This window comes from Homo sapiens, chromosome 12 (assembly GCF_000001405.40).
Source record: "Homo sapiens chromosome 12, GRCh38.p14 Primary Assembly".
Lineage (NCBI taxonomy): Eukaryota > Metazoa > Chordata > Mammalia > Primates > Hominidae > Homo > Homo sapiens.
This window is the reverse complement of record NC_000012.12, coordinates 51884932-51901425: the sequence shown is the minus strand read 5'-3', so window position 1 is coordinate 51901425 and position 16494 is coordinate 51884932. Positions and strand designations below refer to the sequence as shown.

At 50.9% G+C, this 16494-nt stretch overlaps 1 protein-coding gene and 1 pseudogene across 8 annotated transcripts; both read right to left on the bottom strand.

Annotated features, from left to right (window-relative positions):
* Positions 1-11: 11 nt before the first annotated feature.
* On the bottom strand, positions 12-9037 carry LOC102724178 (filamin-B-like; annotated as a pseudogene).
* A 661-nt stretch (positions 9038-9698) lies between these two features.
* Positions 9699-13323, bottom strand: ANKRD33 (ankyrin repeat domain 33). 8 transcript variants are annotated; one of them, NM_001304459.2, is made up of 6 exons: positions 13095-13323; positions 12608-12858; positions 12230-12355; positions 11914-12054; positions 10937-10999; positions 9699-10842 (listed from the first exon to the last, which is right to left on the bottom strand). In NM_001304459.2, the coding sequence occupies exons 3-6, from the start codon at positions 12348-12350 to the stop codon at positions 10121-10123; spliced, it is 1047 nt and encodes a 348-aa protein (NP_001291388.1). In that variant the 5' UTR covers positions 12351-12355; positions 12608-12858; positions 13095-13323; the 3' UTR covers positions 9699-10120. The 8 variants fall into 8 exon arrangements, with proteins under 8 accessions (NP_001291388.1, NP_001123487.1, XP_047284739.1 ...); NM_001130015.2 differs by lacking the exon at positions 10937-10999 and having other exon boundaries at positions 9699-10240; positions 10441-10842; XM_047428783.1 differs by having other exon boundaries at positions 9699-11268; positions 11944-12054; positions 12230-12359.
* Positions 13324-16494: the final 3171 nt, after the last annotated feature.

Below are 16494 nucleotides of genomic sequence, written 5' to 3'. Positions count from 1 at the left end.
GCTGGACAGGGCAGCTTTTGTTGGCACTTTCTATGTTTGTGCCCACTGGCATTTTCAGGTCGTCGGCTTCTTTGGCTCCAATTCTCTGCCATAGGCCCTGGCTTTCTTCGGGTTGAGTTTGGGTTTGAGAGGCGCCCCTGGCTTGAGCTTGGCTTTGGGGAACTGGGATAGGTAAGTCATAACTGAGTGTTCGTCCACATCCGGGTGAATGGTTTCTTCAGGAGTGGTGACCTGTGGGACACCCAGCCATCATCTGCCTGCTGCATGGCTTCTCCTGCGTTATCCACAGGTTTCTGTGGGTGCCAGGATTCCCAGTCTGGGCACAGACCTGGAGCACAGCTGTCTACCAGGGCTCTCAGGGCTTTGCTGTCTTGCCAGTTCTGGCTAAAGTTGGTGATGGGCAAGTAGGGGACCTTGTTCTGAATCCACCCCAGCAGCCTCTGCTTCCGCATCTGCTTCTTGGCATCATCATCCCCTTCATCCTCACACACGGGCGTGGAGATGGAGTAGCGGAGGATCAGCGTCCACACCAGACCCAAGATGAGCTTCAGGTTCCCATCCACAGTGGCTTTGCTATCGATGGACACGAGCTTGATGCTGTCACGGTCCAGGAACTCGAGCGCCACGGACACGTTCTTGAGCTGCATCTGGCGAAAGGTGGGCCGCTGATGGTACTTGAGGTACATGTGCTTCTGGCTGAGCACCTCGAGCAGCGCAATGGGCGGCAGCCCGTCGCTCAGGTCAGCGCCAATGCCGTTTGTTCACGCACTTGAGGTGCTCGTGGCACCAGCTTGTGAACGTCTTCTGCTGGATCTTCTTCCACGGCGCGTCCTCCGCCAGATCCTTCTTGGTCACTGGCATCCTGGTGGCGGGGAGAGCGCAATGCGCAACGAACTGCCAGGAAATGGTGTTTGGAGGCCCAAGGGCCGAGGAGCGAGAACCGAAGCGGAGCAGGAGCGGGGTTCGAACTTGCTGCTACCGGAGCCAAGGCCCAGCGTGCTGCTCTGCGGCTGCCCGCCCCTGGCCGCGGGAGGCGCCTGGCCCTGCGCCTGCGTGCTGAGCCGCCTCTTAATATTCTTAATGATGTTTGAACAAAGGGCTCAGCATTTTCATTCAGCAATGGGCCTCACAAATTATACAGCTGGTTCTGCACCAGGGAGGGTAAGGAGAAACAGCAAGGGAGGAAAACTAGCAGGGCATGAGATGGGCTTTGCTCCATTGAAATTGCAGGGTGGGAGAATTATATGAGACAACCTAGGGATTTTTTGTTTCTTTGTTTGTTTTGTTTGTTTTTTGTTTTTTGAGACAGAGTCTTGCTCTGTTGCCCAGGCTGGAGGCTGGAGTGCAGTGGCACTATCACAGCTCAATGCAACCTCCGCCTCCCAAGTTCAAGCAATTTTCCTGCCTCAGCCTCCTAAGTAGCTGGGATTACAGGCATGAGCCACCACGGCCCGGCTAATTTTTTGTGTGTTTTTAGTAGAGACGGGGTTTCACCATGTTGGCCATGGTCAGGAGTTGGTCTCGAACTCCTGACCTCAAGTGATCCTCCCACCTCGGCCTCCCAAAGTGCTGGGATTACAGGCGTGAGCCACTGCTCCTAGCCAACCTAGGGATTTTTTAAACACAAGAAACATGAAAACAGTAGAACAGGGTACCCAAGGAGGAAGAACTGTGGGTCTCCATTAGGGGAGAAGTGGGACAGATGTCTGCAAATTCCATTTATCCATCTCTTCAACACATAGGAGAGTGACCAGTTTTGTGGGCAAATGGAGTCTGGGTTTTGCCTGGAGGAAAAGGGAGAAGAAATGACTTCTCTAGGTCTTCTTTAGCTCAGGGCAGAAAGCATGATGGTGTCCTGAAAGAGCATAAACTGTGGGACGTGGGGCCTGGGTTCCAGGCCCGAATCATTTATCTGGGCCTCAGTTTCCTCCTCTGTACACTGAGAGGTTTCGACCAGACAATCCTGAAGGTCCTTGCCTGCCTTATATGCTCTCTTTTGGCTCTAAGATTCGGGAATACTACCCGGTCCCAGAACTGGTCACTAGAACTCAGGTAAAAAAGACAGTTTGGCTGGTGCCTAGGTTTGGGGAGGATGCGGGGTAGCCAGAGTTCTGCCCCGAGACTCAGGAAGAGGCTGGTAGATTCCCAGACTTTGAGCCGCCAAGTCATCTTCCTCTTCCTCTCCAGCTCTTCCAGATCTCCTCCAGATGGTCTCGTCCACTCCCCGCCCACCCCCCGCCCTCAGGATGACTCTTCTCAGGATGGAACCTCTTGAGGAAGGGATGCCACGTCAGGGCAGCAGAGTCTTAAGGTTGGACGGTGTCCACATGATGGCATGGAGGTGGGTGGGCCTGAAGCCTGGTCTCTGTGGAGAAGCTGTTTTAGCGCTGCCTGCCTGGCAGTGCAGTGAGCTGTGCATTGCCCCTCCCTGCAGGCTTCCCATAGGCTGTAACTGTCACCCTCCAAATTGGCCTCAGCACTGAGGAAGAGGAGAGTTAGTGGAAAGAGCTCAGACTTGGAGTTGGAAAACCTGTGTGTGAGCCTCAGTTTTCATTCCTGTAGGAAAGGGTTGATAATTCCTTCTCTACCACATTCTCAAACTAAGCAAACTATGTGCAAAAGCCCTTAACCAGCCGGCTGTAAAACCCACAGGGACACTGGTTTGTGTGGAAGGAGGGGCAGAGGTGTGGGATAGGAGGAAGGGCACTGAACCAGGAGTCAGGAGACCTGAGGCTTGGCCATACACAGTGGAGGAGCCTCTATTTCCTTGTCTGCTCAAAGACGAATAATACATATTGCCTTTTCTACTACTGGCTGCATGAGAGGTTATGATACAGATGAATATAGCCCCTGAAGAGGCTGCAAAGGAGGAGGCAGCTGTTTTGAAAAAAAATTAAAAGAATCCCAAATAAGTTCAGGGTAAAATAAATACAACTTTGCAGAAGAGTTTATAATGAGAAGCAACCGTACCCATCCCCAGACCGCATTGCTAGGGCCAACCCTTGTCTCAAAGTTCCAAATACTAGTTTTTCTGACATTTACTTCAACAAACCCTCAGTAATATGTGTACACTGCTATCTCTAGATTTAAAAGGTTCAGGATTTAGGCCATTTAGGTTGTCTCTCTCTAATTTTTTTTTTTTTTTTTTGAGACAGGGTCTCACTCTGTACTCTGTCACCCAGGATGGAGTGCAGTGGCGAGGTCATGGCTCACTGCAGCCTCAAACTCCCTGGCTCAAGTGATCCTCCCGCCTCAGCCTCCCAAGTAGCTGGGACTACAGGCATGCACCACCATGCCCAGCTAATTTTTTAATTATCTGTGGAGATGAGGTCTTGCTATGTTGCCCAGCTGGTCTTGAACTCCTGGGCTTAAGTGATCCTCCCACCTTGGCCTCCTCTCCCTCTAATTATTGATCATTATATTATTATTGTATAAATTTAAGTAATATAGCCCAACCTCTAGTTCCTATTTATGGTATTAGAAAGTATCTCTTGACTGTACTGATTGAGGATAGCGGCACCCTGCTCTTCCCTGAGCTGCAATGAGGGAAGACATGTCAATCATCTAAGATGAACCATCTTGTTATGGGGGGTGTTCAGCTGGAACTCCTGAAGGTGGAGATGCTCTGACGGCTGTGCTGAGCATTCCAGATGGCATAGGAGGTCCTGGAGACATCAAGACTTCCCCATTCCAATGAACAGCAAGGTCTGAGTTTGCTTGGATGAGGAAGGGCAGAGTTGACTGGCAAGGGGGTGGGAGCCTGGCAGGCTCTTGGGTGGTGTTGAGAGAACCCTTACTGCATGGGGAGAGAGTTTGAGGCATTAAGGTGACCATCCCCAGTGTGGACCAGAAAAGATCCCCAGTATCTGAGAGTAGGTAATGGCCCCGGCTGAGAGAGAATGTTTGGAAGTGGGGCTGCACGTCTGGGAGAGGTCAGAGCCAGCGGGATTTCCTTCAGCTCCAGCCACTCTGGTGGGTGGGACCGGATTGCTCATGCTGGACACAGGAATCTGCCTTTGTTTCCAGCTGGAGGGGAAATGCCATAAATTCTGCCCCGTTCCCACCCCTCCAGCATCCGTGCCCAGGCTCTGCCCTTCTCAGGACCAGAAGGCCTGGGACTGAGGGCCCTCAGGTGAATGCTTATTTCCAGGACCCCCAAATCCACAGGCTTCTGCCCCTTGTCCCCCAAAAGCAGGGCACTGGCATGGATGTAGGAAATAGGGGTCGGGGTATCCAAGGCGGGTCTGGAGTAAACAGGAACAAATAAGGAGTGAGGTTTAGACCTGCTCACTGCTCTCCTCTCCCTTGGAGGGATCATGGCCTTTCACAGTTAAGGAGGACACCAAGCTCTGAAGGGAGGACTTAAAGGCAGGGCCTGGGCCCCCCTAGCACCCCAATTCCTGCTCAGATAGATGGACCATGAAACTCCAACCAGTCACACAGGCAATTTTTGGAGCTGGATGGCTGGGGCAATGGATGCGGTGTTGTGGGGCAGAGGGGGCAGAGCAGGGCATGGGTCAGGAATCTAGGGAAAAGGGGGCCCTGTTTTTATTTTTTCCTGGTCAGTGAGTGTTTGTGCACCTGTGTGAACAAGTGTGTATATGTGTGCCTGCATGTGAAGCCTCGTTACGTGCAACTGGGTGTTTGTGGGCCAATGGGCCTGTGTAGATGTCTGTGCCTCTAAGCCCGTTGCTGATGGCTTGTCTGCATGTGTCTCTCTAACCATCTGGAGTAGAAGTTGGCAGGAGCTGGGGTGTTGAGGAGGGCCTAAACCTTGTCCTCAAGCCCTCTCCTTCAGATCTGGGTATTTTCCTTAGGGATGAAAAGGTCTCCCTGTGGGAAAGGAGAGAGGAGAGCAGATGTAAACTTCTGTGTGAGCTGTGGCCAATTAGGTCTCTCTCGGTGTGACCAGCTGAGATCTGATAGGTGGAAGGTCCAGACGGGCCAGGGTAAGGGTGTGGCTGGCCTGGTGGTTGATGTGGTAGAAGACGCATGTGTGGTCCCAACCACTTGGAAAGTGTGACTGCTGGAGAGGGGGCATCCTGTCCAGGTTCCCCAGTATGGAGAAAAGAGGACACAGACCAGTGAGTCCCCATCTGTCCTCTGTCCTCCCTACATATATGTACTCCCTTGCCTTTTCCTGGCAAGGGGTTTCCTGGGGCATGCCCTGGAATGCCCACTGCCAGTCCATGGATAAGAGCGGCCCCTGAGAGAAGGAGGGAGATGATAAAGGACCCCCTGAGCATCCAGGACCTTAGAGGAGCCTGAACAAGGTTCTTCCCTATGCACATGTTTTGAGCCTGGGATGGGTTCCATGCTGAGCCAGAGGCTAGGGACACAGACATGGTCCCTGCCCACACGGGAGTGAGTAGGCTTCCCCAGGAGTCCACACAAGCCTGGCTGACATCCCAGTGTGTGTCGGGACAGCCAACTCTGCAGTCCCAGGTATAGGAGCCCTCTGCCTTCCAGGTGGAGGGTGTACATGTGTACACTCCGGGAGCAGCTCCTCCAGCCGCCAGCACTGTGGTGATGAGGTGGGCTGGGAGTGGGCCTAGGGTGGGGGATGCAGAGATGTGTGTTTTCATTTCCTGGGCCACCAGAATAGTTTCCTAGAATCACAGGGGAGGCCATGGGGCCTCAAGGGCACATCCGCCAGCCTCCTCCATGTAGCTGCACCCTGGGCTGTTCCCTTACTCACTGCTGCTCAGGTACAATCCCAGGCTGCTGTTGACCCACCATGCCCTGACCATGTGCCAGGCGGTGCCCAATGCCTCTCAGACCCCTCACTGCTTGGGCTACAGACAGCCCTGGGTGGCAGCAATTGTGGTCTCATCATTTGATGTTACACATGAGGTGACTCAGGTTGGGAGAGGCAGAGCCAGGACTGAAACCCAGGTCTGTCTGACTCCAAAGGCTTTGCCGTGCCTGCATTCTGCACAGCCAGGGGCCTCACTATGGATTTCTTGGCCTCTGCTGACAGGGACTGAGTTCGGAAGCCTCAGGAGCTGTGATGAGGGAGGGGGAGGCAGGGATATTAGAGGAGAGGTTGACTTTGGGAGGCACAGGCCACAGCAACTCCAGGCCTCAAGGCTTCTCTCTCTCTGATCAGCCTGAAAGGGTTCTGGGAGGGGGAGGGAAGGCTATTGTCAGGACCTATTAGAGGATTAGAGAGAAATGGCTTGGCATGGGAGGGGGAGTTGCTAGAGTGAAGTCCGGGGACTCTAGCTGTCCTGGAGATGGCCAGGGATTGGAAGGGTGGGTCTTCTCCAAGGCAGAGAGGCTCCCTCTGCTGGAAAACATGCTCCAACCTGGAACCCAGGCATTAATGTGGGTTCCACCAGATCCACCACGGCCAGGACAGAGGGGCCTAGGGAACCACAGAGGGCTAGTTCCCTGGCCTTGAAGGTACAGTAGTCGTCCCTGAGCAGGTTGGAGGTGGAGGGAGAGGCTCAAAGAATCAGAGGCTCAAAGTTTAATCCTCCCTGGCTGCAAGCAGATGCCATGTGCTACAGTGGAATGAGCGCAGGCTTTGGAATCTCACAGACTTGAGCTCCAAGCACTGCTTTGCCACTTACCAATTGGTGACATTGGGCAAGTTGCCTAAACTTTATAGCCTCAATTTCCTCAACTGCAAAATAGGAAGGCTGTGCAGATTAAATAAGAAAACAGAGGCCGGGCACGGTGGCTCATGCCTGTAATCCCAGCACTTTGGGAGGCTGAGGCGGGTGGATCACCTAAGGTCAGGAGTTCAAGACCAGCCTGGCCAACATGGTGAAACCCCATCTCTACTACAAATACAAAAATTAGCCAGGTGTGATGGCGCATGCCTGTAATCCCAGCTACCTGGGAGGCGGAGGTTGCAGTGAGCTGAGATCAAGCCACTGCACTCTAGCCTGGGTGACAGAGATGAGACTCCATCTCAAAAAAAAAAAGAAAAGAAAGAAAGAAAGAAAAGAAAATGGGCCAGGCGTGGTGGCTCACAACTATAATCCCAGCACTTTGGGAGGCTGAGGTAGGAGGATCGCTTGAGCCCAGGAGTTTGAGACCAGCCTTGGCAACATAGTGAGACTTTATCTCCACAAAAAAATTAAAAAGTTTTCCAGGTGTGGTGGCACACACTTATAGTCCCAGCTACTTGGGAGGCTGAGGCGGGAGGATCCTTTGAGTTCAGGAGTTCAAGCCTGCAGTGAGCTATGATCACAACCTTGCACTCCAGCATGAGCAGCAGAACAAGACCATATCTCAAAATATATAGATATAGATACAGATAGATAGAGCCAGGTATGATGCCAAGTGCTGCGTCATCTCATTCAATTCTTATAACAGCCCTATGGTGAACATGTTACTCTTACCTCTATTCTGCAAGTGACACCTGTGAGGCTCAGAAAGTGTAAGTAACTTGTCCAAGGTCACAGGCCAACTCCCAGGGAGGCATTTTGCCACGATGCTGATCCACGACTATCGATGTAGCTTCTTTCTCTGTCTATGATGTCCAATGCCAAGGCTGGCTTCCTATGCCATGATTTCAGCAGTGGGTGGGGAGGAAAGAAATCTAGCTCCATCCTGGAGGCCCTGAAGCTGTTTAATCCAACTCACTTCCCCGGGGCTCTTCCTTAATACGTCACCTCTTGATAGTACTTTACAGTTTATGGAACTCTTTCACCCATACTAGCTAGTGGATCCTTCCAATAGCCCCCATTTTCTCCATTTAACAGATGTGAAAGCCGAGGCAAGAGAAATTTAAGTGCCTTATTCAGGATCAAGTTACCCTTGAGTCCCTTCCAGTCCACCATAGTGGCCTTCAGAGCTCTTCTGGGAGAAATCATATATTATCTGACCCTATTAGTCATTTTCTTCTCAGTGTGTGTGTGTGTTTGGGGGGGTGTATTTTCCCTATTCAAAGAGTGGATTTATTTTTTAATGTTTCAAAATTTGGTAGACATAATTAGAAAGTCAAAACGCCCTGTGCGGAATTCCAAATAATTTATCTAGATACTCTACCCTCAAGGAGATGGTGTATAACTCCCCACTCTGTTAGTGTGGACCTTGTATAAGACTTCCTTCCAAAGATGACAGTGCAGAGAGGGGGAAGAAAGAGAAACTTTACAGTGGAGAAAACTGACAAACTACCTGAGCCAGGTGATTGAGGTCTATATCAAGTGATAAGTCATGTTCATACTATATGCCTCCCTTGACATGATGTGAGAAAAACTTTACCTCTGTGGAATTTTCCCTTCTGAAAACCCAAAGACCCAGTCTTACATTAATTATAAGAAAAACATCAGACAGGCCAGGCATGGTGGCTCACACCTGTAATCCCAGCACTTTGAGAGGCCAAGGCAGGCGGATCACTTGAGCTCAGGAGATCAAGACTAGCCTGGGCAACATGGTAAAACTGCGTCTCTATCAAAAATACACACACACACACCACCAACAACAACAAAAAAAATCAGACAAACCTCAATTGAGAGACATGCACAAAATACATGACCAATATGACTCAAAACTGTCAAGATCATGAGGAACAAGGGAAATCGGAGAAACTGTCACAGTCAAGAGGATTCTGGGGGATGTGATGATGAAATGTAACAGGGGATCCTGGATAGAATCCTGGGATAGAAAAGGGACATTAGGGCTGGGTGCAGTGGCTCACCCCTGTAATCCTAGCATTTTGGGAGGTCAAGGCAGGCAGATCACTTGAGGTCAGGAGTTTGAGGCCAGCCTGATCAACACAGTGAAACCCTGTCTCTACTGAAAACACACAAATTAGCTGGGCATGGTGGCGCACGCCTGTAATCCCAGCTACACGGGAGGCTGAGGCAGGAGAATCACTTGAATCCAGAAGGTGGAGGTTGCAGTGAGCCGAGATCAAACCACTGCACTCCAGCCTGGGCAACAGAGGGAGACTCTGTCTCAAAAAAAAAAAAAAAAAAGAAAAAGAAAAAGAAAAAAAAATTAAGGAAATCTGAATAAATCTGTTCAGTCCTTTTCTGGAGAACACTACTGTGTTCTTCCCAGGGATGCTCCAGTACCGCATTGGGGGTTAGCGTTAAAGCCTGGAGGCCACACTGGATGGCTAGATCTCAATCTTGAGCCCTGCCAGTGTCTAGCTGTGGGACCTAGGCAATTCCTTAGCTTCTCTGTGCCTCATATCCTCAAAGATAAAATCCTCAGGATTACTGGAAGGGTTAAATGTGTTACTATAAATAGTAAGCACCTTCTAAGTAGTTGCTATCATTATTATAAACATACAAGCAAATATATTTACACAACAAAAGTTTGAGAAAAATATCCAAAACTTGTAAATAAGGCCAAAAAATAAAGTTAGTGCCCTTTCAAATATATTTTAGATCATTGGCTAATAACCCCACCTATGGGTCATCTAGGGGAAGTTAACTTTGTTTGACATGCTATTAATATTTACTATTGATAAGGACCCAGGCTCTCTAAAAAGACAGATTAACCTGTTAAAGATTGATAAGTGGCAAATTATTTTGGTCTAGTAGAAAAAAATAAAAATGGTTATGGCTTTATTGCCAGGTGTCAATTAACTTTTTTGTGTCTAACTTTGCAATCTTATTCTAGCATTCATTTTTTCACTGATTGTCAATAATGGCTTTTCTTTTCTTTTTTTTTTTTTTGATCTATCCTGCTGGTTCACTCATTAAGTAGTTAAATAAATCTTAGTACTCGCTATATATTTGTCTTAGTCATGTTTATCTTCGTGAAAATTTTACTTCGACAAATAATAATATGCCATATACACTGTTCCACTCCTTAGTTATTTTTACTTTATACATCTTGATGGTAGTTTCATATCAGAATATAAACAGCTTCCTTAGTCTTATTTTAGAATACACTGTAGAGTATGCTCTGTATGGATGGACAGCAATTACATCCGTAATCAATCTAGCCTGTCCCTTACTGATGGACACTTCGGGTGTTTCCACTCTTTCACTCTTGCAAACAATGCTAGAATGAATGACCTTGTATATATATAGGTTGAGAGCAGATTTACTTAGGCAGAGGTGGATGGGGAGGCCGGAGGCACTCCAGAGGGGAAAGAAGCCCTGGGAGGGGCCTGATTACCTGTTCCCAGCCTGTCCTATCCCATCTTCCCCTACTTCTGTGCCATTCTGGCCTCCTCCTCCTGTTTCCTCTTCTCTATCCTGAGCTCCTGGTATCGCCAGAGAGGAAGGGCCAGACTTTGGTGTCCTGAAGGACTGGGCTTCGGCTGGCACTGGTGGGAGGATGAGGATGCCTTGGAGAGGAGGATCTTGGGGACTTGGGGCCTGGGGCTGGTGCTATCCCTGGGTTGTAGCCACTGAAGGCACTTGCTCAATATGCCCTGAGGGCTCTGGTAGGGGACGAAGACCCACGGGGACCTCTGGGGACTCCCTGGCGGGGACTGGGGAACCAGGGGAGGGGGCGGGGCAGTACCTAACAGCTCTGGCACGGACTTGCTTCGGGTGCCCAGCGAAGGTGGATGGTCAGGGCACAGAGTGTGGCAGGCAGTGGTGACGAAGGGACTGGCCAGGCTGGTTGTGGCAGTCACAAGGTGGTCCAGAACACCCCCCTCCTGAGGAGACGGGGCAAAGGGGAGGCTCAAGGTAGCCTGCAGCCGTTCTAGGAGTGAAGGGGCAACCTGGGCCTGGGCCTGGGCCTGGGCCACGAGCCCGGACAAGGCCGGCCACTCGGGCTTGTAGTGCTGGCTAAGCTGCTCCACTTGGGGCCGCCTCAGCAGCTGCCGAATCCTCCACACGGTGTCGAAGCTGTCGGTCAGCACTGCCCATTCCAGGGCCGTCTTGCCCCGAACAGGGTCCACTGCTGTCAGGTCAGCACCTGGGAAGGAGCACAGGGGGTGACATGGGGCGGGATAGGGGTTGGTGATTTGTGGAAGGGCAGATTCTTTAGGAGCAAGACTGATGTGGGTTACATTCGAAGCCATAGAGTCCCATCCTGTTGAAGGTGGAATCAGGGAGGCCAGTGTTGCAACCTCCTGTTTAAGAGAGATTAAGACACTTAGGTCCAGAGAGGGGAAAAGACTTCAGAGAGACCTATTGTGGGGCTCCACCTAGGGCAGAATAGGGATCTCCTCAATCCAAGGAGCTGAGCAGAGCAGCGGTGCAGGCTGCCCAGGACAGGCAGAGGCCTGAGCTGCACCCTCTGGGGCAGGTGGGTGGGGATGATCGGCTGGTTCCCTCTCCTGGTTCTTCTCTTCTCACCATCTCCCTCTCCCATCTTGGGGTTGTGGGAGGAGCAGTCACTCTAAGACAAAAGAAAGGGTGTAGAGCGCCCTCCTTTTTCATTCACTCCTTTTTCACTCCAAACCCAGTGGGGTGTGTGGGGAAGGGAAAAATGGAGGCAGGGGTCCCCCAGAGTGACCAGCAGAGGGCAGCCCCACTGCGGGGAAGAAGGGCCCCCAAACAACTCCATGGACAATGTGGACTTCACCGCACCTCCCCCTGAACGACCCCACAGAGCCACAGGCCTCAACGACACTTCCCTGGATCCCCTGGAAGCCTGGCTTGTCAGAGTTGGAGGTAGTCCCAGGGAAAGCTAACACCCTCACAATACTGGTGAGGCCCAAAGAGGGAAGCCACTCAGCTAGGAACAGGGGCTGGTTCCAGATGCCAGCCTTTTTTCGTGTTAGATTTTCCAGCTGGGCTAGGTTCCCCTCCCACACTTTCCTTCCTGGGACCTCCACACACAATGTCTGAGCTATCAATAGCAGGACTTGGTTGATTGTACGAAGCCCAAATCATGTGCCCCCCCCTCCAGGAAGGTGAACTAGATTGATCCCCCATCTCCACCTCTCTCCTTTCTGCAAATAATCACAGCTGACTTAGTGTCTGGTGGGAAGGCTTGGAGGAGGGACTGGAGGCCACACACCCCGGTCCAGGCCCCGCACACCTGCCATGAGGAGGGTGGCCACGCACTCACAGCGGTTCCGCATGGCAGCCTTCATTAACGCCGTGAGCCCCCGCTGGTCCCGGCGTTCCAGGTCCAGGCCCACATAGTAGTTGAGCAGGAGACTCACTAGAGGCACGTGGCCTGCAGGGCAGCAAGGGTAAGCTTGGTCCCCAGGAAAGGGGGTGATGAAGCTCCCAAACCGCCCTCCACCCAGCATGACAGAGTCTGGTGTAGAACACCGTGCAACAAGGGTGGGGCTGAGGCCCTGTCTGCATCAAAAGGGGGCTGTCGGAAGTGGGGTGCAGCAGCCTCACACCTGCTTGGGCAGCCAACATGAGGGCCGTGTCCCCTCCTTTGTCCTGCTGGTTCACATCAAGGAAAGGACAGTGGCTGAGCAGGGCCACAACACTCTGGAAGCCGTGGTAGCATGCGACCATGAGGCCTGTCTGAGGGAGGGGCAGCTCAGATCCCCTGCTTTCCCCCTGGGCCACTCCAGGGCCCCTTGCACCCTCTAAACCCATATCTGTCCCAGAGCCTGCCCCAAACCCCGTGAAGACCCGCCCTTAACCATTCCCTTCCTCCTTAGGACTGCAGGAGGTATTGCCCCTGAACCCCTCTCAGGGAGCCAGGCCAGGACGGTGTGGTGGGGATGCAAAGATGCCCCCAGCTGTTCTGGGAAGCCAGGACATCTCACCCTCCCATTGCTGTCCACCTGGGTGGCCTCCTCTGGGGAGACCCCACCATCCAGTATGGCTTGGAGCTGGGTGGGATCATTGTGGACACAGGCCCAATACAGGGCCCCCAGCCTGCAGCCTGGGGTGGGGGTCTCCTTGCCCGGGCAGGGCAGTGCCTCAGACATGTCCAGCCGTCTCCTGTGCAATGCCAGCTCTTCCTCTTCCAGGCAGGGAACCAGAAGGTGAGTCCCTTTTCTCATGCAGCTGGCATCTAAAACACAGAATGGAGAGGAGTAGTGAGTGTCTCCCTGGATCCTAGGGAGGGGACCCAGCAGCTGCGAAGTGCACAGCCCTTGCCCCAGGGAAAACATTTATCCCAGCAGGGGTCTCGCCCCATCCACCCTGAGAAAGGACAAGCGCTGGGTCAGGAGCCCTAAGCAAGCAGGGTTCACTCTAGGTCAGCACCCCAGTGAGACTCACGGAGAGAGGGTCGTCGTTTTTTCTTACTTGGGGTTCGTAGGGTATCTATGAGGCAGTCAACGCGGGGCACAGCCCAGGCTCCGCGGAGCACAATCACTGGGTCTCCGAATGCCTCCAGGTGGACTATCCCTCCCCAGGAAGCAACGCAGGTAACAGATGGCTGGACTTTCATAAAGAGCTGCTGCAAACACCTCGGGGCTGAGCCGGATCAAGCAGCTGGGACTGGGGCCCCATGCGGGGCGGGTGGTCACGTCTCAGGAGCGGACTCAGACCAGCCCCAAGATCCTCCGGGTGGGCGGGGCCTGAGCCGGGCAGCTCCTCCCCGCCGGGGCGGGCTCACAAAGACGACTCCTCCTGACGGACGCGCCCACTCTCAGCCTTGGGGACGCCGGCGGAGATGCTGCCTCGTGGGGTCTTGGCCCAACTTTTTAGGCCCAGCCTAAAGCCCCTCCTAATTGGGTGGAGCGCGACTTGCTGAAGGGGTGGTTGCGGGAGAGGGGGTGAGTGAATGCAGGTATCTCATTAAATAGGGTTGGTACTCTCAGAATGACCCTGGGGTGGGGTCTCCAGGGGGGTCACCTGAACTTATTTTTTGAGGTTCTGGGGAAATAAAAACATAATTGTCAAATTATGAGTATAGAGCTGGGCCCGGTGGCTCACGTCTGTTATCCCAGCGACTCAGGAGGCTGAGGTGGGAGGATCGCTTGAGCCCGGGAGGTCGAGGCTGCAATGAACCGATGTCGCGCCACTGAACTCTAGCCTGGGCAACAGAGGGAGACCTCCTTTTAAAAAAAAATTGTGGCCAGGCGGGGTGGCTCACGCCTGTAATCCCAGCACTTTGAGATTCCAAGACGGGTGGATTATCTGAGGTCAGGAGTTCAAGAACAGCCTGGCTAACATGGCAAAACCCTGTCTCTACTAAAAATACAAAAATTAGCTGGGCTTGGTGGTGGGCGCCTGTAATCCCAGCTACTCAGGAGGCTGAGGCAGGAGAATCACTTGAACCCGGGAGGCAGAGGTTGCAGTAAGCCGGGATCGCACCATTGCTCTCCAGCCTAGGCAACAAGAGCGAAACTCCTTCTCAAAAAACAAAACAAACAAACAAACGAAATTGTGAGTACCGACATTATGTGTCTAGTGCAGGTGGGCAGTCGGGGCACAAAGTGCGGCAGGCAGTAGTGAGGGAGGGATTGGCCAGAAATTATGATGTATGAAATTTAATAGATTAGTTTCAGTGTGATAAATTAAATATGAAATATTTAAATTAAATGATCTGTTAATATAATGATAAATTGTTATCAAAATATTCTTTAATATTTATATTACATATTAAGCTTGATGGATTGGTCTTGGTCCACAGATGTAGAAAATGGAGCCAATGATATTCCCCCATTGGTATCACTCCCATCATCAGACTGTACAAGACCTCTCTCTTGTTTTGTTTTACTTTCTTTAGTTTCTCTCTTTCACCCTTAATCCCCACATCCCATTCTCCTCCACCCTTTACCAACTGGCACTTGTATATCCTTGAAAATGTACATTTCATTGAAAAAGATAGTACTGATTTGTGTGTTTTTATTTTATTTTTTTCTTTTTAGAAACAGGGTCTTACTCTGTCACCTGGGCTGGAGTGGAGTGGCATGATCATAGCTTACTGCAGCCTCAAACTCCTGGGCTTAAGTGATTCTCCCACCTCAGCCTCCCGAGAAGCTACGAGCTTCTCGGAGGCACACAGGTGTGTGCCACCGCGCCTGTCTAACTTTTTTATGTAGAGATGGGGATCTCACTTTGTTGCCCAGGCTGGTCTCAAACTCCTGGCATCAAGTGATCCTCCTGTCTTGGCATCCCACAGTGCTGGGATTGCAGGCATGAGCCTCCATGCTCTGCTTGTATGTGTTTTTAACTAACATGTTATGAATTGTGCTATAGAACTTATTCTGTTAGTTTTTTCTTTTTCACTTAAGCTCCATCCTTATTGCTTTAGGTGCAGTGTATCAGTTGGATGTGCATTTGGTTTTTAGTAACCAAAAAGCTGAATGGTATGTTGTCCATAATAGACGGGCTCCTCAACATTAATCTAAAACTGCTTTCAGTGTTTCTTCTGCGCTGCAGAAGTTGGAAAGCTAAAACAACCCTTCCCAGATTCCCTTGAGCTATGACTCTGTGGTTTGCGTCCTGCTCTTGTGCAAGATATAAATTTGGAACAGAGCTACGTAGCATGGGACATCCGTTTTGCTGTCACAGGTCATGGCAGCAGCAGCAAGGCTCTGGTGAGCAGCTTCCTGATTCATCAGCTTCCTGTAGTAGTGACTGTTGTTTTCTCAATCACAGGCAGAGGTCATGTGACTCTCAAAGCTGGGGGTTGTTCCTGGACCTAAGCCTGCTTCTCCATCCCTTTCTGTTTAAACTGATCAGATTTCTTTCTTTCTTTCTTTCTTTCTTTCTTTTTTTTTTTTTTTTGAGACAGAGTTTCACTCTTGTTGCCCAGGCTGGAGTGCAATGGCGCGATCTCGGCTCACCACAACCTCCGCTTCACGGGTTCAAGTGATTCTCCTGCCTCAGCCTCCCCAGTAGCTGGGATTACAAGTATGTGCCACCACCCCGGCTAATTTTGTATTTTTAGTAGAGACGGGGTTTCTCCATGTTGGTCAGGCAGGTCTTGAACTCCTGACCTCAGTTGATCAGCCCACCTCGGCCCCCTAAAGTGCCGGGATTATAGGCGTGAGCCACTGCACCAGGTCCAGATTTATTTCTGTTGTCTGCAATTGAACTCTGACACATGTAGCTTAAACAAAGAGGTGCTTGTTTTTAATACATGATAAAAAGTTCAGGAATAGGAAACTGTTGATGTTGGTTAAGAAACTTGTCAGGGCCTTCTCTGGGATTCTCTTGACTTTTCCTCCTTGGCACAAGATGGCTGCTAAACCTCTAGCCATCACAGCAAAATGGGATAGATGCACCCTATGGAATTCTATACAGCAGTTAGAAAAAAATCTATCAGATGATAAACCAGACATCTCTGATTATCTAACACAATCCCTGTTCATAACTCCCCTTCTCTCTAGTTACCTTTCAGTTAGGTGTTATCATGTAATGCAGTTTTGGCCAATGAAATGCAAACAGAAGTCTGATGGATAGGGATTCTAGGAAAAAAGTTCATGCTGTTGTTGTAAATAAATTTTCAATGCTGCAAGGAAATAGCACTCGAACATAAATTTAATTTTCTCAGCATGGCAATTTTTACTTCTATAGAAGGGTGCGAGTCGTGAATGGAACAATGGCAAGAGCACACCTGGACAGGAGAGGAGAAGGAGTTCTTATTCCTGACACACGGCCCTACTGCTGTGGCGTTCCCCTATTGGCTAGGGTTGGACCGCACAGCCTAAGCTAATTCCGATTGGCTATTTTAAAGAGAGCAGGGATATGA

Coding starts and splice junctions, on each gene's coding strand:
- ANKRD33 (XM_047428784.1), bottom strand. CDS start 13,239: ATGAAAGTCCAGCCATCTGTTACCTGCGTTGCTTCCTGGGGAGGGATA. Junction 12,360..12,607: donor AGGTGGACAGCAATGGGAGG/GTGAGATGTCCT, acceptor CCCCTCCCTCAG/ACAGGCCTCATGGTCGCATG. Junction 10,843..11,913: donor GGCCACCCTCCTCATGGCAG/GTGTGCGGGGCC, acceptor GCTCCTTCCCAG/GTGCTGACCTGACAGCAGTG.